This window comes from Homo sapiens, chromosome 13 (genome assembly GCF_000001405.40).
Source record: "Homo sapiens chromosome 13, GRCh38.p14 Primary Assembly".
Lineage (NCBI taxonomy): Eukaryota > Metazoa > Chordata > Mammalia > Primates > Hominidae > Homo > Homo sapiens.
In genome coordinates, this window is record NC_000013.11 from 26,188,939 (window position 1) to 26,212,311 (window position 23,373).

General features: G+C 40.1%; 1 protein-coding gene across 5 annotated transcripts in view, besides 1 other annotated feature; it reads right to left on the minus strand.

Moving 5' to 3' along the window:
* Positions 1-23,373, minus strand: part of RNF6 (ring finger protein 6) — a 90,971-nt gene that overhangs the window by 56,824 nt on the left and 10,774 nt on the right. The gene's annotated exons all lie outside the window — the stretch shown is intronic.
* Positions 11,674-11,968: a silencer, noted in NCBI's record as "tiled region #3220; K562 Repressive non-DNase unmatched - State 23:Low". NCBI's record gives its function as "represses a minimal TATA promoter and a strong SV40 promoter by Sharpr-MPRA in K562 cells {active_cell/tissue: K562}" and the evidence as "EXISTENCE:reporter gene assay evidence [ECO:0000049][PMID:27701403]".

A 23,373-nucleotide genomic window follows, 5' to 3' on the forward strand; every position in this document is an offset into this window, starting at 1 on the left:
TCTGAAGAGGTTGTATGCAAACTGATTATTGTAGACTCAAAGGCTTACACTCCCATGAAGTAAGAGGGAGCTTTCTTAAATGTAAGATAGAATCAAAATATTCCTAGTAGCCAGGGATGGTGGCTAACGCCCGTAATCCCAGCACTTTGGGAGGCCGAGGCAGGTGGATCACCTGAGGTCAGGAGTTTGAGACCAGCCTGGCCAACATGGTGAAACTATGTCTCTACTAAAATACAAAAATTAGCTGGGTGTGGTGGCGGGCACCTGTAGTCCCAGCTACTGGGAAGGCTGAGGCAGGAGAATCGCTTGAACCCGGGAGGCGGAGGTTGCAGTGAGCCAAGGTCATGCCACTGCACTGCAGCCTGGGCGACAGAGCCAGACTCCATCTCAAAAAAAACGCTTCCTATTGTAATAGATCGTTGGATGAAAATATGCCACCTTGCCTCAATTACTCTAAATCAAATAACAGGCTTAGTGTGAGTTGGAATAAACCTATCAATGGCTACATTTTTTGTTTATGTATATCTGTGTTCATACGAAATTTCATATTTCATGCCAAGGAGGAAATGGAAAACTCCTAAAACTTTCAGAAGGGAAACTATTCTCATTTAAAGGCAGTTTGCCCCAATCTTAAGGAAACTCTGCCTGTTTTTGCTTCAGGCTTCCTTTTACAGAATCCAGAGGGGTAGAAAGTGATTTAGCTTCATCCTCAGCACATTGGATGATGAAACTTCAGACTGAGTTTGAGACAGGTAGCATTCATCCACTCTCATTTTTAAGCTCCTTGGAGATAGAGATTTCACAGTCTGCTTAATAAACCACTTCCATGTTTGTTTATTTATTTACACTCTCTGCTCAATTTTGCTGTAACCACTTCTGTGTTTAATAACCCTTACTGTTGGAATTGTTTTCCTGACTCTAATCCAATCACTACTCTGACAGTTTAGCATTTTGGATTCTTAGATCTGGAAAATATGGAAAATAGCCTTAAAGATCACTGTATTCATTTTCCACAAATTTGATGGATTAAAACACACAGATTAATTTTCTTACAGTTCTGTGCATTAGAAATCCAACACAGGTCTCACGGGGCTAAAATCAAGGTGTTGGCAGGACTGTGACCCTTAATGGAGGGTGCAGAGGTAAATCTTTTCCTTGCCCTTTCTACCCTTTAGAAACCGATCGAATGTGGTTTGTGGCCCTCTTCCTCCGTCTTCAAAGCCAGCAATGTTGCATCTCTGACCATTCTTCACATTTTCCTCTGACTCAACTCAGCAGGGAAAGGTTCTCTGAGGACACGTGAATAGATTGGGCCCGCCCTGATAATCCAGGATCATCTCCCTATTTTAAGATTTTTAATTTAATCACATCTACAAGATCTTTTTCCATATAAGGCAACATATTTATAGATTCTAGATATTAGGATGTAAACATCTTCAGAGGGTGAGGTGGGGGCATCGTTTTTCTACCTATCATAGTTATCTCTTCCAACTCACTTCTCAAAGCTGGAATCCCTCCTATGTGACTTCTGACAGATGCTTACCTAACTCAGTACTTCCACTGATGTGGAGGTTGCTGATTCATGAAGCTGCCAAGGAGAATGTTGGCCAACCCTAAATGTGAGGAAATTCTTCTGTTCAGTTACGATTCACATACATGGGTTCTTACCTTAAGCACAGGAGAAAACCTCACCTTGTATCCCCATAACACACCCAACACATGAAATTTTAAAAATATTTCAAGACAGCAAATGTTCTATTCATCAATTGAACATTTGAACACCTATGATATGTGGGTGCTATTCTAGGCTCCAGCAATAAAATGATTAATCAGCCAGACAAGGTTTACTACTGTTAATGTGACCTAATTCATCATTGTTTGCCACCTCTCTTCCTCAAAGGATGCAATGGCCAGTGGATTCATGGGTTCATCATCATCAGTATCAACATTGTGATCTTTTTGGTCATTTAGCATGAAACAAAAATCTATAAATCCAAAGGTGCTGAGTCATATGAAATGTCGGAATAGAGTGACCATCCATAAATTAGTTCTGAGAATACAGAATCATCATCCAGCTCCAGTGTTCAGTAGGCCAAGTCTCATTAAAGGATGCCATAAAATGAGAACATTAAACACTAATAAATAGGTGATATTCCATGGAACAGCCTTTCCATTTAGAAAAAAAGACATTTTAAGTTGGAGGGCAGGAGTGGTTTAATCGATTGTTCAATACACAATGTTGAGATAATTGGCCATCTGTTTAGAAGGAAAAAAATGGCTAAGGGACATTCTTATCTCCAACCATTCATAAAAGCTAATTCCAATGGATTAAATATATCTAAATGCATTCATTCATTCAACAAATAGTTATTAAGCCACTATCCTGTTCAAGTTGCTGTGGATAAAAAAATCACACAAAAATCTCCTTTCTTGTGGAGCCTACATTCTAGTGCAGAGTGGCGGTCAATTAATAAATAAGCAGTTAGCTTATTTATTTGATATGGTTTGGCTCTATGTCCCCAAATCTCATCTCAAATTGTAATCCCCACATGTCAAGGGAGGGGACCTGGTGGGAGGTGATTGGATCATGGGGGCAGTTTCCCTCATGCTGTTTTCATGATAGTGAATGAGTTCTCACAAGATCTGATGGTTTAAAAGTGCTTGGCAGTTCTCTCCTCACTCTCTTTCTCCCGCTGCCTTGTGAAGAAGGCGCTTGCTTCCCTGTCACTTTCCACCATGACTGTGAGTTTCCTGAGGCCTCCCCAGCCATGCAGAACTCAGTCAAATAAACCTCTTTATAAATCACTCAGTCTCAGGTAGTTATTTATAGAAGTGTAAAAATGGACTAATACAGTTGGTGATATGTGTTATGGAGGAATAAAAGCAGGGAAGAGAAGTAGGGAACAGGAGTTTACAATTTCGTACAGATTATTTAGGGAAAGCATTGCTATAAAGATGACATTTGAGTAAAGACTTAAATGAGGTGAAGAAGTTGGCCATGCAGTAATGGAGGGAGGATTTTCTAGGCAGAGGTAATGTGTAATAAAGGGCCCTATAATGGGAGCATGTTTTTTGAGAAATATTTAGCCTAAATGGCTGAAGTTAAGTGAGCAGAGGAACAATCATAGGAAACAAGATCAGAGAGATAGCCGGGGATGAGATCATGTAGAAGTTTGATAGTCATTTTAAGAATTTTGGCTTTTTCAAGTAAGATAGGAAGTTGCATTATATGATTTACATTTTAATGGAATCACTCTTATTTTTATATTGAAAATGGGCAAAGGCAGAAGCAGGGAGACCAGTTAGGAGGCCACCACAATAATCCAGTGGAAAGAGAACAATGGCTAGGAACAGAGTGGTAGTAGTGATGGTGGTTAGAAGTAGTTGTTTCTGAATATATTGAAGGCAAAGCCAATAGAATTTGCTCATGGATTGGTTGTGTAGGCAAAAGAAAAAGAGGAGTCAAGGATGATGTGGCTGGAGAGTCTACGATGGCCCCCAATTATCCCTGCCATCTGGTATTCATGCCCTTGTGTAATAGTCTTCCCTTGAGGGTAGGCTGGACTCAGTGGCCTGCTTCTAATTAGAAGAATATTACAAAGGTGGTGGGATATCACTTTCATGATTAGATTATGTGATATTTTTACATCTGTCATACTAGCAGACTCTATTGCCTTCTTAGTTTGCATGCTTTGATGAAACAGGCTGCCATTTTGGAAAGGCCCATGTGGCAAGGAACTTAGGGTGGCCACTGGCCAACAACCAGCTAGGAACAGAGGCCCTCAATCCAACAGCCCTCAAGGAGCTGAATCCTGCCAAAAACAGGTGAGCTCTGAAGTAGGTCTTTCTCAGTCGAGCCTTCAGATGAGACCCCAGCCTTGGCTGATATCTTGTTTTCAGCCTTGTGAGAGACCCTGAAACAGAGAACCTAGCTAAGACATGCTCAGACTCCTGACGCACAGAAACTGTAATATAATAAACGTGGTATATTGTAAGCTGCTAAGTTTGCAGTAATTTGTTACACAGCAATAGATAACTAATAAAAAGACATCTTTTTGGCCTGAGTGACTGGTATGGATTTACCATTTACTGAAATGGGGAAAACTGGGTTAGGGGAACCAGTTTGAGCTGTGGCGAGATCAAGAGATCAGGCAGACATACTAAGTTTGGGTGCCTATTATACACCCAAGATAAGATACCAGTAAGCAGTTGGATATACAAGTTTTACATTTGGGGGAGATGTCTATGGATATAACTTTGGGAGGAATCAGCTTATAAAAGGTTTCTAAAGCCATGAAAGTTAATGAAATAATTAAGGCAGTTAGTGTACAAGAACAGAGCCTGGAAAAATTCATCATTAAGAGGTTAAAAAAAAAATGAGGAGCCAGGAGATTGAGAAGAGGTCAGTAATACGGAAGGAAAGCCAGGAGACTGGTATCTTGGAAGCTATGGAAAGAGGATGAGGGAGTTAGCAACTGAAATCATGATGGTAGGTCAATTAAGATGAGGACTGATAATTAGCCAAAGGATTTAGAAACCTGGTAGACATTGGTGACTTTGATAAGAAAAACTTAAGTAGACTGGTGGGGTCTAAAGCCTGACTGGAATGTGTTCTAGCAAGACCTGGGGGAGAGAGAAGTTGGAAATATGGAATGTAGACAACTCTTCCAAGGAGTTTTGCAGTGAAGGAAAGTGGAGAGAGGGTAAGGTAGTTGGAAGGGTAAGTAAAATCAAGAGAGAGTTTTTAAAATACCCTTGCATACTGAAGGAATGATCCAGTACAAGAATAAAAACTGTTGATGCAGGAGACAGTAGATATTTGTCAAAGCAGTTTTGCTGGATGGTTGAAGAATGGTTGATTGAACAAATGGAAGGGTTGATCTTAATTTGAAGCACAGACAATATGTGAGAAAAGAGCATGCATGGGCAGAGAAGAAGGTGAGTGGTAGATGTAGTAGCACAAGCTTGTAGATGTTCTTGTGTAATTATTTCTATTTTCTTAGTGAAATAGAGAGTAGATTATTATCTAGAATAAGAACGGAACAGAAAGTAATGGAATTTTAAATAATAAGATATAAAATAGTTACCTAGGATGATGGCACAAATGCACTAAGGAAATACAATATTACTGCTCGGAAGCAATAAGATTCCACATGAGATTGGTAATAATGAATTTAAATGAGACTAGTCGATATAGATGAGAACGGTCAATATACACAGATGGGTATTTTTCTCAAGCCATATTCAGGTGCTAGAGAGTGTGAGCATCAAATTAAATTTTAACAGTGGTTATGGTTTAGCCAAGTGAGTACAAAAAAGCAGGGGAGAGGCAAGAGAGTTGAGGGTTTAAGCAAGAGACTGGTAAGAAAGATTAACAAATACAAGGATAATATCTAACTCAGGTCCACTGTAGCCATTCTATCCCATCAAAAGGGAGGAGAAGAAAAACTGAAGAACACTTGTGAAGTTTACAGTCCAGAGGCATAGGCTCGCTAAAAGACTAATACCTAATAATAGGACAATGTAATGCTTCACCTCACCCTATACCTTATCATCACATCACTAAAGGCCTGTTTACTGCAGTTCCTTTTTACCCAGTTCATCATGTCCAGGTATCAAGAAAAAATTGCAAGACCTACTAAAATATTTGAAGATATAATGGCTGTATTAGTCAGGGTTCTCTAGAGGGACAGAACTAACAGGATATATATATATGAGTTTATTAAGTATTAACTCACATGATCACAAGGTCCCACAATAATAGGCCATCTGCAAGCTGAGGAGCAAGGAGAGCCAGTCCAAGTCCCAAAACTGAAGAACTTGGAGTCTGATGTTCAAGGGCAGGAAGGGTCCAGCACTGGAGAAAGATGTAGCCTGGGAGGCTAGGCCAGTCTTGTCTTTTCACGTTTTTCTCCCTGCTTTATAGGCTAGCGGTGCTGGCAGCTGATTAGAAGGTGCCCACCCAGATTAAGGGTGGGTCTGCCTTTCCCAGCCCGTGGACTCAAATGTTAATCTCCTTTGGCGATACCCTCACAGATGTACCTAGGATCAATGCTTTGCATCCTTCAATCCAATCAAGATGACACTCAGTTATTAACCATCACAATGGCCAAAAAACAGTATTTGAAGACAGAGCTGGCTTAAACCCAGATATAGCAGAAATACTAGAAGAAATATCATCAGTCTGGGGATTTAAAACAACTATGATTAATGGATAAAGTAGACAGCATGGAAGAACAGATGGGCAATGTAAGCAGGGATGGAAATCCTAAGAATCAAAATGAAATGCTAGAGATCAAAAATACTAACACAAATCAAGGCTGCCTTTGGGGGGCGGCTTATTAGTAGACTGGACGCAGCTAAGGAAAGAATTCTGAGTTTTAGGGTATCTTAACAGAAACCAAAGCTGAAAAGCAAAGAGGACAAAGACAAAAAAAACCAGAATATTCAAGGACTATGAGACAATTATGAAGGTGTAACACACATATAATAGGAATTCCAGAAGAAGAAAAAGAGAAAGGAAAGAAAAGAAATATTTGAAACAATAAAGACTAGGATTATCCCCAAATTAATGTCAGATACCAAACCACAGCTCCTGGAATCTCAGAGAACACCAAGCAGGATAAATGCCAAACACAAACAAATTACACCTGGGCATATCATTTTCAAACTACAGAAAATCAAAGACAAATTAAAAATCCTGAAAGAAGTCAAAAGGCTAAGTAACTTGCCTAAGATAACACAATTAGTAAATAGCAGTTATAATTCGAAACAAGTATATCTGTCTCCAGAGCTAGTGGTCCTAACCCCTATATCATCATGGGGTGATAAGCCTCAACACCTCCCTTCTTACACACCCACACCCACACACACATACATACAATTTTACACAAGACTGCATATTTTGGTAACTTCTCTCAAGATGACCTTATTATTCATTTGACCCTGATTTTCAACCAGACATTATACATGATTTATTCATCAGCATCGTAATGAGATAAACCCAAGGTCTAATGGAAAAATTTCAAACAGACTGACATACATATAGTAGGAGACCCAAAAGAAAAACAGAAATAGACTGAGGTGTAAAAAACACTTGAAGATAAAATGGCCAAAATTTTCTAAAATTTTATCAAAACTTACAGATCCCAAAAGTTTACTAAATCACAAACAAAATACATTCAAATAAAACTATAGCTTGGGACATCACAGTCAAGCTGTAGAAAACTGAAGATAAAATCTCTTATAAACAACAAGAGAAAAAAGTTATCACAAACATACACTGCTTCTCATCACAAACAATGGAGGCCAGAAGTCAAAAGTATAAAATCATTAAAATGCTGAAAGGGAAAAAAAATGTCAACCCAGAATGCTATATCCAACAACAACAAAAACTCTTTCAAAAATGAAGAAGAAATAAAACATTTTCAGGCCGGGTGTGGTGGCTCATGCCTGTAATCCCAGCACTTTGGGAGGCCGAGGTGGGTGGATCATCTGAGGTTAGGAGTTTCTGACCAGCCTGGCCAACATGGTGAAACCGAGTCTCTACTAAAAATACAAAAAATTAGCCAGTAATCCCAACTACTTGGGAGGCTGAAGCAGGAGAATTGCTTGAACCTGGGAGACGGAGGTTGCCGTGAGCAGAGACCGTGCCACTGCCCTCTAGCCTGGGTGACAGAGTGAGACTCTTTCTCCAAAAAATAAATAAATAAATAAATAAATAAAACATTTTCAGATAACAAAAAGCTGGGAGAATCTGCCACTAGTAGTTCTGCACTACACTGTCCTTTAAGCTGAAGGGAAAGTATACAGATAGAGATGCAAATCTGTAGAAAAGAAAGCAAGCCACCAGAAATGTTAAGTAGGTAGGTAAATATACAAGGCTGCATCCCTCTTCCTGAAATTTCCTTAAATGAAAACTGATTGTGAAAACAAAAACTAGCATTATAAGGTGAGTGTATAATGTAGGTATAGAAATCAAAGATATGATAACACAAATGATGAATGGAAGAATGGAATTATATTGCTTTGAAGTTTTTATATATATGAAGTGAGAAGTTTGAAATGGAAAGTTAAATATGGGAAGTGGGAAATGGGACATGGGAAGAGTGATAAGTTAAGGATGCTGAGAACTGCAGAAACTCTCAGCATGAATGACTACATCCAAACCCCTGCACTAAGAGATTTGGCCAAACTCTAACATGACTTCTGGCAGGCAAAGGCCCCATGCTCCTGGGATGATCCAGCACACTCTTGAGATCCTGCCTAGAAAAACTCAAGGCTGCCAAAGAATTTACCATTTGTTCCAGCCAACACCTGGGGAAAGGTCCCTGACCTCCCTTTCCTAGAGTATTTACCTTAAAAAGCTTACAACTACAAATCTTTTCTCTGCCCATTTGGGATATACATGTATCTCCTACAACTCAGGAGTGTCTTTCCCAAGGACCTAAAAGCCATTCCTTTGAAATGTAATCATTAGAAAGCATAGGGCCTCTATCTCTCAGTCTCTGTGGAGGTAGAAGTCTAACTTTATAAATGGCAGTAAACAAACACAGATGGCCTAATTATATTTACATTGGCCAACCCTTGTACCCATTTTTTGAAATTTTGTCACTTTCCTGACACTGCTCAAGCCCTCTACTTGCTCTCCCTCCCTACTCCTTCTCATGGGTCTTTTAAAACACCCAGTTACCTGTGTAGGAATCAGAATGGAATTCAGCTCTTTTCTCTACTGCAATAGTTACTGAATAAGATCCATTTTCACTTGTTTAATTAATGTCCAACTTTATCTCTGAAAATACATTAGGCTGGGTGCAGTGGCTCACACCTGTAATCCCAGCACTTTGGGAGGCCGAGGTGGGCAGATCATAAGGTCAGGAGACTGAGACCATCCTGGCTAACATGGTGAAACCCCGTCTGTTCTCTGATCATATGGGAATTGAATTCAAAATCAATAGCAATAAGGTTTTCAGGAAGCCCCCGTAACATCTTGGAAGTAAAACAAATCCTAAATAACTTGTAGGTGAAAGAGGAAATCATAAGATAATTAGAAAATGTTTTGAATTGAATAAAATTAAAAATATAAAATATCAAAATTTGTGGATGTGTATATATACATACATACATACATATGTATATATGTGAGAATATGTATGTGTGTGTAGTACGAAAGTATATGTGTGTGTGTGTGTATATATATATATATACACACACATATATATATGAGAGAGAAATATTCATTTTAAGGAATTGGCCCATATGATTGTGAAGTTTGGTATAGCCAAAATTTGCAGTGTAGGCCAGCAGGATAGAGACCCAGGAAAGAATTACAGTTGTAGTTCAAGGGCAGTCTGCTGGCAAAATTCCTTCTTGCTCAGAAGAGGTCAGTGTTGGTTCTACCATCAACTGATTGGATGAGGCCTGCCCACATTATGGAAAGGAATCTGCTTTACTCAAAATCCACTGATTGAAATGCTAATCTCATCCAAAAAACACCTTCCCAGAAACATCCAGAATAATATCTGACCAAATAGCTGGGCACTATGGCCCAGCCAAGTTGTCATATAAACTAACCATCACAGCATCTATGAAAACCCTAGAGCTAACATACTTAATAGTGAAAGACTGAATGCTTTCCACTAACAGCAGAAACAAGGCAATGATGTCCACTCTCACCACTTCTACTTAACACTGTAATGAAGGTCCTAGATAGTGTTAAAAAGTTAAAAAAAACCATATATATTGAAAAGGAAAAAGCAAAAGTATCTTGATTTGCATATAGCATTCAGTACATAGAATATAATACGAAATACTTTTAAAAGCTATTAAATAAGTAAATTTAGCAAGGTCAGAGAATATAAGCTCAAAATACAAAAATCAATTGTACAGGTATAGGTAAATAATAAATGGTTGGAAATTGAAAGTGTGAAAAAATAACATTTACAATAACTTCAGACAACTTGAAATGCTTAGGCATAAATTTAACAAGATGTACAAAACACACTTAAAAATACAAATCACTGCTTAGAGAAATTTAAAAAGACCTAAATAAATGGAGATATATACCATATTGATAGGTTAGAAGATTCAATATTGTTAAGATATCAGTTCACCAAAGTGATCTATAGATTCAGTGCAATCCCACTCAAAATCCCAATGTTCTTTTACATAGACATTAACAAGCTGAGTTTTAAATGTATATGAAAATGCAAAGGACCTAGGGCAGTCAAAATAGTGTAGAATGACATAAGAATGACAATAGAACAGACTAGGAAGCCTAGAAATAGACCCACACATATATGTTCAACTAATTTTCACTGAAGAAATTCAGTGAAGAGGATAGTCTTTTAACATATGCTGCTGGTACAAATGGATATCCATATGCAGACAAACAAAATTTACCTGGATTCTTGCCTCTTGCCACACTAAAAATGATCTCAAAATGGATCATAGATATAAATGTAAAAGCTAAAAAACTAAATGAAAACAACAACAATAAAAACTGAAGAAAGTCTTTGTGATTTTTGGGATAGCCAAAGATTCTTAGGTACCACACAAAAAGCATGGACCAAAAAAGAAAAACATTGATAATCTGGACTTCATCAAGATTAAAAACTATTTTTTCTTCAAAGATACTATTAAGAAAATAAAAATTCAGAGACTGAGAGGATAAAACATATATCTACAGACATATATTTGTATATGTATGTAGATATAAATTACAAATGAATAATACTCCTAATACATAAAGAATTATTGCAACTCAATAGTAATACAATAAACCAATGGGGTAAAATGGGCAAGGACACCTATAGAGAGAGAGACAGATGAAGATACATTAAAAAATAAGTACAGAAAAAGATAACTCTTATGGGTTAAATGTTTGTGTGTCTCCAAAATTCATATGTTGAAATCCTAACCCACAATGTGATAGTATTAGGAAGTGGGGCCTTTGGGAGTTTATTAGGCCATGAAGGTGGAGCCCCCATGAATTTGGGATTAATGCCCTTATAAAAGAGATCCCAGCGAGCTCTCACCCCTTCCACCCTGTGGAAGAAGCCACTTATGAAGAAGCCAGAAGCTTATGAAGACAGCCATCTATGAACCAGAAAGTAAGCCCTCACCAGACACCAAATATGCCCATGCCTTAATCTTGCACTTCCCGACCTCCAGAACTGTAAGAAATAAATATTTGCTGTTTGTAAGATACCCAGTCTATGGTATTCTGTTATAGCAGCCTAAACAGACCAAGGCAATACCTGACATCATCAATCATTATGGACATTCAAATTAAAACCATAACATTTCATATCCATACAAATAGCTAAAATCAAAAAGCCTGACAATATTGATTGCTAGGGAGAATGTAGAACAATTGGAATTCTCATCCCAGGCTTGGCTTCACAGGTGCCATGCTCAGATGAGCCCCACACTTGGTTTAATATTCTGCTGTCACTGTTTGAAATTCTTTTTTTTTTTTTTTTTTTTTGAGGCGGAGTTTTGCTCTTGTTGTCCAGTCTGGAGTGCAATGGCACAATCTAGGCTCACTGCAACCTCCACCTCCCAGGTTCAAGCAATTCTCCTGCCTCAGCCATGTAGCTGGGATTACAGGTGCCCACCACCACACCAGCTAATTTTTTGTATTTTTAGTAGAGACAAGTTTCACCATGTTGGCCAGGCTGGTCTTGAACTCTTGACCTCAAGTGATCCACCTGCCTTGGCCTCCCAAAATGCTGGGATTACAGGCGTGAGCCACCATGCCTGGCCTGAAATTCTTAATAATTTTACCTTTGAACTAGTGTTTTGTAAGCAAAGTCCAATAGGGCAATGGAGGATAGTGTGAGCAGAGGAGATACTCACAATATGTGTGCTGTTTCTTGCTGCCCCATTCAGATACAGTGTTTGCAGTGACCTGTGAGCATGAATTCTGATGGGCATAATGCATGGGAGTTCAGCAAGACTCAAAGTAAGTAAAAAGTAATCATGTTATTTTTCAAAAAATTAAAAATAGAATTACCATATGATTCAGCAATTCTGTTTCTGAGTATATGCCCAAATAATTAAAAGCAGAGACTCTGGCATTGCATAACATAAAGATGAAACAGCAGTAAAATTCATGCTGATAATTAATAGCATGAATAGCAAATAAAAAACACCATGACAAGTCAAGACTGCAGAAGAAAAAAGCTTTATATTTCCCATTTTTTTAACAATGGACCCCACATTTTATTTTGCACTGAGTCCAGCAAATTATGTAGCCAACTGTCTTATACATCACTACTAAGAACCTAAAATGGTCCAACCATTTTGGAAAACAGTTTGGTGATTTCTCGTAAAGCTAGCAACACACTTACCACATGACCCATGGGAGCCAGAAGCTGTTTGAACTAATTTGGTTACATTTGTACACTAGTGAAGACTATGAAACAGATTTGATGATTGGCAGCCCCACAAAAACCAGGTGGAATGGAGGAGGGGTAATTCTTTCAAATGAATGGAGTAAAGGAAGCTGAGCAAGCAACAATAACGGAGGCAGAAGATAAATGGTGGGGGATGTTGGGGGAGGGGAGGAAGGAGGTAAGAAAGGTGAGAATATTCCATTTGCAGATGGCAGAGCTCAAATTTAAGATTCCTGCCAGCCTCAATAAAGCACTTGTTTGATTCAATTCTACATTAGGACACTATCTAGAGGAATGGCTTATTTAAGCAAAGAACTGCTTGTCAATTCCTGAGACAACTGAGCATGGATTAAATGCATACAACTGCATATGGGACTCTGATCCTGGGAGTATAAAATTATTAATGATTTTGCTCAAGAGTAGCATAATTAAGAGGCAGACATGGGCTCAGATTCCTAAAATAATAACTTATGGTTAAATGAGGCCCATTACATGCCATTACGTTACAACCCAAAAGTTTGGTTTCATCCTTTGAGAGCCAGTTGACTGATACTCAGTGTCCCAGCTGTGGATCTGCTTGGAAGCTGCAAGGACTAACTTCTTATTCATTATGGGGACCACAAAAAGAGGCTACTTATGAAGGTGTGTGGTTCTAGACCCCAGGATAATGGAAGAAAGAGCGGTTTGTGCCACTAGGCCCTTATTCTGAGAGCGGAGCCCTATCCTACCATACTTGGCAGTCTGGCCAAAATGAAGCTAACAGCGGTAAACTTGGAGAACCGAGGCCTGTTTCAGGTGCTGCAGTGGCCTCTCAGATGACTTGGGCAAATGATCCATCTCTCTATTTCTGTTTCTTCCAAAATAAGCACAAGTAATTCTCACCAACCTACTCTTGAGTTGGTTTGAATATCAGATGAGACAATGAGCATGGAATCTCTTCAGATAAAATGAAATGTGATACAAAATTAAGATGATGTGCCAGTTATTATTCTTAGCATTTCCAAGGGGGTGCTGCCACCCTCCCCTTCCCTTTCAGATTATTGGCAATAGGAGAGGATCAAATTAAGATCATAATTAGATGATTTGAGAAATTCACATTACTCTTTAAAATACTGAAGAATTCATTAAACAAAGATCAAAAAGTTTTGTGGCTATGCCAGGTTCCTGAAATCCTAAGAACCACTATGAATCCAGAAGAAGCATTAACTGTTAAAGCTCAGAGAGGAAATATTTTAGCAATGACACAAGGCAGCTTCTTATCTCTTGCTTCACAGCATCACTAAAAATAAATTTAAAAAAAATACAAAACAAAATGAAAATAAAACTTTTAACTGATCCCCAGAAGAACAGACTCTTCAGAAAAGCTGACAGACAGAGGGTCAATGATCAAGAATAAAAATAGTATGGTACATTTAGAAAGGAAAAACAAACACCCATATCACATGGGCAGCTACTTACTGTGAACAAACCATGAACAAAAGTACCTCAAGGCTAAGGCAAATGGGCCACAAACTGGATATGAGTCAGCAACAAAAGTCCTTTTATTAATTAAGCTCAAGACTGGATACAATGTTAATAATATTTTATGCTGATGTTTATGAAGCCCTTAACACATGCCAAGGACTTTTAGTGTATACCTGTATCATCTTACTTAACCCCACTAGGTAAGTGTGATTGTTATTTATATTTTACAAATGGAAAAACAGACGACCAGAAAATTAAGGTACTTGCATAAGGCCTCCAAACCATTATGTGGCAATTTGGGCCATGAGCTGACATCTGTCACCAAAGTCTGTGTACCTAATCCCTGTTGTAAATTACCTCTCGAGAGCATCCTGTTCATACTGAGTGCAGGTTGGGGTTCTCGGCTTTGACAAAGAGGCTTGGCAGACCTTAAGAGGATTCAGAGGAGAGCAGTGGAGAAGGGTTATTTAACCTGGAGAAGGGAAAACTAAGATGTGATCCCTAGCAGTGTTAGCTTCTCTGATGGCAATTGGGATCAAGAAATAGATAATAGATTGCAGGTGGTTTGGGAGAGCAAAGGAGGATTCGGGCTAAGCCAGAACCAAATTGTGATTGTTTCTAAATGTGCTAAGGATGTTAAATATTTGTGGTAGTCATGGAGGTGCACCACTTAAGAGAACCTGCTGTGAGAAGCACGACTGACTGAGAGCCTCCAGTTGTCACACCTTTGGGTGTGACACAGTGCTCAGGCCCAGGCCATGCTTCCCCCAGGCAGCTCCTAGCAGTGACTACGCATAAAGGCAATATTAGAACTGGGCCATTTCTGTCCAGTGGTGGCTCCTCTATGATCCTGGAGAGCTCTCTTAGAACTACAATGCAGGCTGGGCGCAGTGGCTCACGCCTGTAATCCCAGCACTTTGGGAGGCCCAGGCGGGCAGATCACGAGCTCAGGAGATCGAGACCATCCTGGCTAACACAGTGAAACCTCATCTCTACTAAAAATACAAAAAAATTAGCCGGGCATGGAGGCAGGTGCCTGTAGTCCCAGCTACTGAGGCAGGAGAATGGCGTGAACCCGGGAGGCGGAGCTTGCAGTGAGCCCAGATCGCGCCACTGCACTCCAGCCTGGGCGACAGAGCGAGACTCGGTCTCAAACAAACAAACAAACAAACAAAAACTGCAATGCAGTCTGAGGCTTTTCCTGCTCCAGCCTCCTTCCTTCCCTTTCTTCTCTGGAAGGTGTCAGACCCACAATGCAGCCTGGAGGTTCTCCTCACCTACTCCCGCTCCCTCCGCCTTTATCGTCAACAAGTGTTTCCCCAATAAATTTCCTGTATGTATAATTCTGTCTTGGTGTTCACTTCTCGGAGACCCAAACTGACAAAATATTGAGTGTGTAGAAAAGAGAAATAAGGCCGGGCGCAATGGCTCAGGCCTGTAATCCCAGCACTTTGGAAGGCCGAGGCGGGTGGATCAACTGAGGTCAGGAGTTCGAGACCAGACTGACCAACATGGTGAAACCCCATCTTTACTAAAAATACAAAAAATTAGCCGGGCATGGTGGCGGGCGCCTGTAATCCCAGCTACTCGGGAGGCTGAGGCAGGAGAATCTCTTGAAACTGGGAGGTGGAGATTGCAGTGAGCCGAGATTGCACCACTGCACTTTAGCCTGGGCAACAGAGCGAGACTCCACCTCAAAAAAAAAAAAAAAAAAAGAAAGAAAGAAAGAAAAAGAAAAAAGAAAAGGGAAACAATAACTCCTTTGGTCTTTAAAAGCAGGCTTGGCAATTAACTGAGAAATTTTAAGTGCAGGTCCTCGAGAGCCCAAAAAGGATGTGTTTAGAAGACGTCCATCTTCTCCTAGGCCTGAGATTCTATAAGTCTGTACTCATCACCTAAATATAACACATTAAATGTTCCTAGTTTATTTCCATGTAAGAAGGGCCTAAGAAATATGACTATTCATCTAATTAAAAATGAGAAATGCCTGGCATGGTATTCATCTAATTGAGAGGTATTCAATTCTAATTGAAGTAGTTATTCTAATTGAAAATGAGAAATGCCTGACATGGCATCTTCACTGAATCTGCCGCTCTCTCTGATCTGAAACCTGCTTGACTCTCACAGATGCTATTAAAATTATTGCAAGGTGAACAGAGACCATACTCTGCAGACCATAAGCTGCAGAGCTGAAGCCTGGGCCCTCCAAAGCGGCTTGGGAAGTGCACTCAGAGTCCCTGGAGCAACGTGATAAATTGGCCCAAACTTCCCCAAAGTCCTACCAAGCCAGATAGACCATGGCTCATCATTTTGTCCTGAATAGGTTAGAAGAGGTATTTCTCTGTATTGAGCTTCAGTTATTAGCCTTATAACACCAACAATTAGACATCTTCTGACAATAAGTACATGGAGTACTTGGAGTACAATAAGTACATGGAGTCAGAACTTTACAAAAGTCTTTGTAGTTAATAAAGACATTAAAAAATACAAGACTATTTTGCCTTGTTTCTAACCAGCCACATGACCTTGAATAAATTATTTAAGCTCTCCAGATAACCTAAGAAATTCTGAGAGTTGAGGCTCAATGTTATAAAATCACTGAAGTTGTAATCCTCACCCTGTTAAGGGGTCATTGTTTCTCAATAGGACTGGACTAGTTCAGAAAATGCCTTTCCATGGGATATATATCCATTTTCCTCAGGTGGGTGTGGTAATTGTTCCTCTCTCAGCATACTCCGTGGTCAAGATAGTGAAACCTTGCTTTTCACCTGAACAAACTGTTTAAAGAGTTTCATGTAATATATTGAATAGGAAGGTGTTTACTAACATCAGTTGCCAAGACACAAACAACTCTACTATCAACCACACAGGATAAACCCTCTTTAAGATTAAACCTAAATCCTTTCTCTTTGTTAAGAAATAAAATAAAAAGGCCGGGTACAGTGGCTTACGCCTGTAATCCCAGCACTTTCAGAGGCCAAGGCAGGAGGATCGCTTGAGTCCAGGAGTTTGAGACCAGCCTGTCACATGTCGAAACCCTGTCTCTACAAAAAATACAAAATTTAGCTGAGTGTGGTGGCACATGCCTGTAATCCCAGCTACTCAGGAGGTGAGGTGAGAGGATCACCTGAGCCCAGGAGGTTGAGGCTACAGTGAGCTGTGATCATGTGCCACTGCACTCCAGCCTGAGAGACAGAGTAACCCTGTCTCAAAAAATTTTAAAAAAATCTGAACACAGTTCAGCATTGAGCTTAATGCAGCATTAAAGTGTGAAGGGTTAACCTGCTCTACCATGCTTCTCTCCTGATTTGCTCTGCCCACAGTCAGAATAGCCACAGCCTGCCAGCCAGCCCTTTGACTGGGGAACCCTTCCCATCCGCCTCCCCCCCACCACCCTCCCCACTGCCCCCCGTCCCTGCTGGTTGGGGAGGGGAGCCAGCAGAGGAAGTAGATGGATGCAGTGAGAGACAAGACAAAGAGCACACAGCCCAAGCCACCATCTGCCTGGCAGGGTGGCACGAGACAGAGTTTGGGACCCTGGTGTAGCCACTGTGGTTAAGCAGACAGTGTCTGCAGCAGGCTGTCGAATTTGAAATTTGAGAAAGGCAGGCTTCACAGAGTGTCAAACACTTGGGTTCAAGGTAAACTTGAACTGTTGAAGAACTCTTGCTCTGTTTTGTTAACTTTCAGGACCATTGGATTTTTCTGCTTTTGGCTGCACTTGAATAGTATTTCAGAAACATTGTGGGTTATATGGGTTATATACATTTTCTTGGACTCGCCTGGGAGCCTTTCCTCTCTTGCCTCAAACCACAAACATCTGATATTATTTCTATGGGAAATGTGTTTGAGTTTCAAAGAAAATCTTACAAACAAGCTTTTAATGTAGAAGCTATTTGTAAGCCAGGCTGTAACTATATACTGAAACTTCTATGCATTTGCTTATTACATATATATTGAGGGACCTACTATGTACCAGGTATCATGCTAGGTGCTGAGGATAACCAAGGGGTTCACAGTCCTTTGAAGAAGCACATAGATGGGGAACTGAGCAGGTCCACATTATGACTCTCATGGGCCCTCGACACTTTTCCCTTCATGGGCCCCTTCCTCCTTAAAAAAAAAAAATTAAAAATTTTATTTTACAATTGTGTTGGTATAAATACAATCCAGGTTGGATTATATTCTCTCTTGGTATGTGACTGGTTTTAAAAGAAATTAAAACATTTTCATGGGACCTTGAAAGTATCCTAGACCCTCAGTAGGCATTGGGCCTACTGAGCCTAATGGATAGGTTGGCCCTGGAGAGGAGGAGGGCAAGATGAGGACTTGCAGGAGTGACACCTGAGGTGACAGTTAAAGGACAAGCAGGAATTAACCAGAGAGGCCAGAGGGGAAAGGCCATTTTAGGAAGAGAGAACAGCATGGGCAAAAAAAAAAAAGTATGAAAGGCAAGATGAGATACCCTGCGAGGGATCCTAAATGGTAAAAATGAGATTGGAAAAGATAGGCAGAAGCCAAAATATGAAGAATCTTGTGTGCTATTCTAAGAACAGTAGGAAATTAACAGGGACAGCTGAGGAGTGACAAGTCGAAATGAGGCTTGTAGAAAAATTACACTGGAATAATTGGAAACAGAATATGAGACTACTTGAGAGATGATGGCAAGAATCTATGTGAGAAATAGTGACAACCCTAAGACAATAAAAATGAAAATAACAAGTATTCCAAAGGATGCAGGTTGATTCATTGGGTAGGAGGAATGAGGAAGAAGTCTGGGTTCCTATTTGTTCCCTTCTTAGCCCTCAAACACACACCACCTCAAAGCAGCCGGCCATCTCAGATATGGGAAACTGCTGGTCTGACTTTTTGGCCTCATCTCCAAGCCCTCCTATTCTGACAACATCCTAAACTGAGTTCTCAACCTATAAGGCTTATCAGTGTCTTGGTCACAGTTTCATATGTGACCCTTGACTACACCAGTGCCGTGAATATGGGGCACTCCTGCTACCCATTCTGGCCCCTTGGACCCATGCCAGCTAAGGCAGTCCCACCTGGCCCCCACACGGATGCAGAGCAGACTTTTCTGCCTTGCTTGAACTGGTGCATGGTAGAGGCATTGGCTGTGCTAGGAAAAAGATGATGAGAAGCCATTGTGGGGAAGATGATTACTTCCAGTCCAAATATGCTGAATTTGAGGTTCCAAAGGGACAACCTAGTAGACATTAACTAAGGCAATCACAAATGTGGTCCTAGAATTTAGGAGAATGTGCTGGAATGGAGAAGAAGATTTAGGTGTGTGCAGAAAAGAATTTACATGGTAGGCCTCAGGCTGGCCCTAGAAAGGCTTGTTTGCAAGGTTGGCTCTTAGCTGGCAGCCTGGAACTGGACTGGGGGAATACTCTATTCCCTGAGAAGGGTGGACCACTGTGCCTAAACTGTTTGTGCAAACAATATAGTTTACGCTGAACACTTGCTTTCCTCCTGGGAGTCTGAAATTTTGGTATGTGCTAGGCAGAGGGTGCCTGTATGACCAGCCCCCAGTAAAATTTTGGGCACTGAGTCTGTCACGAGCTTTTCTGGTAGACAACACTTCTCTCATGTAGCCACAGTTTGATGCTGGAGGAATTAAGTGTGTCTTGTGTAACTGCTGGAACAGGACTCTTGGAAGCTTACCTGGATTTCTCTAGACTTTGTCCCATGCACCTTTCTCCTCTGCTGACTGTGCTAATATCTTTTCCCTGTAATAAATCTTAGCTGTGAACATAACTCTATGCAGATTCCTATGAGATCTTTTAGTGAATCACTAAATTTGGATGTGGTCTTGGAGACCCCCAACACAGAGATTTATCAGGAACACCTAGTCATTCAGTGCTGGGAATAAAACCTAAGTGGACCCCTCCCAAGTTACATGGTTGCAATGGACTGGTCACATAATCTGATCCCAATTGGTTGGAGTAAAGAAGGTCATGCTGCTCGATCCTACAGACAAAAATGAAGATGCCTTCTATCGTACAATGCACTGGTCTGAAATGCAATGAAAGGACAAGGGTGACATTCAAGGGAAGATTAAAGAAAGACTCCTAACTATTCCAGAGGCAAACTCTATGTGGCTAAGAGTTAGAGTCATAGAAAGATCCTCTTGACAAAATGCTAAAAAAGAACAAACCAACAAAAGACCTAAAGGTTGTGAGGACCATGGCTATTCCTTTAGCAAATTGAGAACAAGACAAGATTTCTGGCATTGGATACAAGATCCTAAATACAATTGTTAAGAAACTAGTTACAGTTTTAAGGAAAGTGTATTGTCAAAAAGTCCCTAGCCTGCTGTATAGAGACCTGTGACTGTCCGGCATTATGGTAGACCCTGAACCAAGCCCCAACATTGAAATGCCAAGATCAAAGCCATTCACCAGCATCTCCTCAAACACCTGCCTGCCATCACCACCACAAGCACCAGTAGGAAATCCTCCCTTGGTGCCTTTTCTGAAGGTGGTTCCAACAATTTATTCTACATCCAGAGAAGTGAGGCAACAAAGAGAATGCTCATGAGACCCATTGTTTCTATCATTCATCCTGCTAAGCTTGCTCAGCGAGATATGCTATTATATAATCTGTACCAGTAATCAATGTATGGCACTTCTTTCCCTGTTTTTGTTTGATTTTTATTCCATTTCACTGTATCGGGTAGGCAGGAGAAGCTACTTTTATCATTTATCCCATAATCTGCAGAATGGTGAGAAGTCACAAACCTGATCAGATCCAAGCTAATGGAGGAATTGACACTACCTAGAAAACCTGAACTCAGAGGGGCTAAATTGTGTCACTTCACAGTACAGAAGCTGCATGTGATTTTGGATTGTTACCCACTGGGGAGAAGGTGAGCACATTTGGAATTGCACAGCACATTTGGAATTGCACAGAAGGTGGCTGGATTAGGATTAAGTAGGAGCATTTTTACAATTAAATGTGTGAGAAGATGTGAGATATATATATATATACTGGGCAGCCAAGAAGTTACTCCATCTTCAAATGAGACATTAACACAATAGAGGAAAAATATGTCTGAAAGTCATTATTTTCCAGAAGAAATGTGAAGTTATTTTTAAAAAGGAATAAAAAATATATAGGGGCCAACTCAGAGTCTTCAGAGATTTAATACTCAAACAAAACTTGCTGAAATGATGGATCTCCAATGATCAAAAGGGCAAATATATTCAGGGACTAACACACTCATACTCACTGAAAATAACTCGCAATCTGTCTCTAGAGACTAAAGAAAAAATCACCACTGACAGCCATCATCATCTTTTGAAACGTGGGATGATGTTCTCAACGATAGATGAATCTGGCTTCCTGGGAAATCATCTCCTAATACAGATACGCCAGCTCTCTGATTTCCAGTGTTGCACAGGACTGAATGAGAGACCCCAAGTGAGCCACCTACTACTGCAAAGTGAATTAACACCCTGGCTTTCATGTAAAGTGCTGTTTCTAGTTTCTCCTCCCCTGGCCACAGATTATTCCAATGGAGAGATGCAGGAAGATTAAAAGTTCATTAGATGTTCTTGTCTGGGAGTAATATACATGAAAATGCCTCAGACTGAGCTTGTCAACTCTGGCCCTTAATGCAGCATCTTCAGATGCCTCATTCATCTCTTTCCTGGATTCATCTTTATAATACAGATTCTGTTATATCTTTTAGGGGCAACTCTTCTCCTCCATTCATGAGACAGAAGGATGTATTTGCCTATGGAAATTAGGGTAATCAGACATATGATAGAACAAAGTTGTAAAATTAGAAAAATATCTTTAGGAGGAATTAAATTAGACTGAAAACTTCCCAAGGCATTTCCACTTCTCCAGAATGCAGCATAGCAGGAAAAGCAGGAGCTTTGGAGGCAAATAGCCACGTGATTGACTCCCTAAACTCTGCCAATTACTAAGTTAGGTAGCAAAAATACTTCAAGGAGAGCTTCAGAGGTTTAAATTATGAATTCATGTTAAATATTGAAAGGAAAATAACCTCGTAAGAGTGATAATTAAGTAAGGGTCATAATGCTGGCTGAAACTAAAAAAATCTAGGAAAAGAGAAAACAGGGTAAAAGGCTGTAACTATGTGAGAGGGCAGCTGGAAGCTGGCAATCTAGAAATAGAAGTTTGCCAGACAGCCACACTATAAAGAACAAGCTCTACGGACCTGACATGGAACATAATATTCAAATGAAGAATTTCTAACTATTTGTTCTTCTCTATATTGGAACCACAAAGGGTATAATCATTGCTAAATAGAAGCTATAAATAGATTAATGGGCCTTTGTATTTGTCATCAGCCTTGTTTATTGGGAAATGAATGAAAATATTAAAGAATATCCTTTTTTATTCCCAACTGGGTTATCAATTTATGAAATTCATTAAGCTGTACTGCTGCCTTCAGGGAATTTTCCATACAAAACACAATCTACTTCTGTTTCAAATGCCTATATGGGATTTCTTTCCATGCTAGTAACATTATCATGTCTTGCAAAGGACTAAGTCAAAGAATCAATATGCCTTTATTTTTTCTGTATCCTTACTTTTTTCATTCCCCTCTTCCTTTGTCCTCCTAATTTTCCTATTGCATCAGGCCCAGGGAGGTAGAACTTCCTGAGGAATATCCCATATAAGAAATAAACGGGCCAGGCATGGTGGCTCATGCCTATAATCCCAGCACTTTGGGAGGCCAAGGTGGGCGGATCATGAGGTGAGGAGTTCCAGACTAGCCTGGCCAACATGGTGAAACCCTGTCTCTACTAAAAATACAGAAAATTCGCCGGGCGTGGTGGCGCATGTCTGTAATCCCTGCTACTCCGGAGGCTGAGGCAGGAGAATTGCTTGAACCTGTGAGGCGGAGGTTGCAGCGAGCCGAGATAGTGCCACTGCACTCAAGCCTGGGCAACAGAGTGAGACTCTGTCTCAATAAAAATAAAAATAAAAATAAAAATGCTGGATTTAGTCTCTCCTCATACTGGGGGCAAATTTTAACACTAAAATAAGTGAGATGTATGAATTAAGCTATGTTCAAGATGTTTAAATTGGCATACCTTGTAACTAATTTGTGCTACCTCTCCCTCCTCCACCTAGGTGATTCTCTCTTCCACCTCTTCATACTGAACTAGAGACCAAACAACGTCTTTTTTTAAAAACCAACATTTTTACACCCTTCTCTTTCCTTTCAGTTTCATTGCCACCATTCTAGGGTAGATAAGTGATGACAACTGGTAATAAAAATAATGATGTCTTTTATCACAATAGTTCTCTTATTGGTTTCTTTGCTTCCCATCTCTCTCCATTCCATTGTGTTCTATATGCTGTAGTAGACCCATCCTCCTGGGCCATGAAAAATGATCCTACCCTATGCCACTAAAATCAAGAGACATCTAACATCTCTATAAGGTAAGATAAAAAGTCCTTAGTTTGCTATGAAAAGCCTTCAAATCTGATTGAAATCAACCTTCCCAGTCTTAGATCC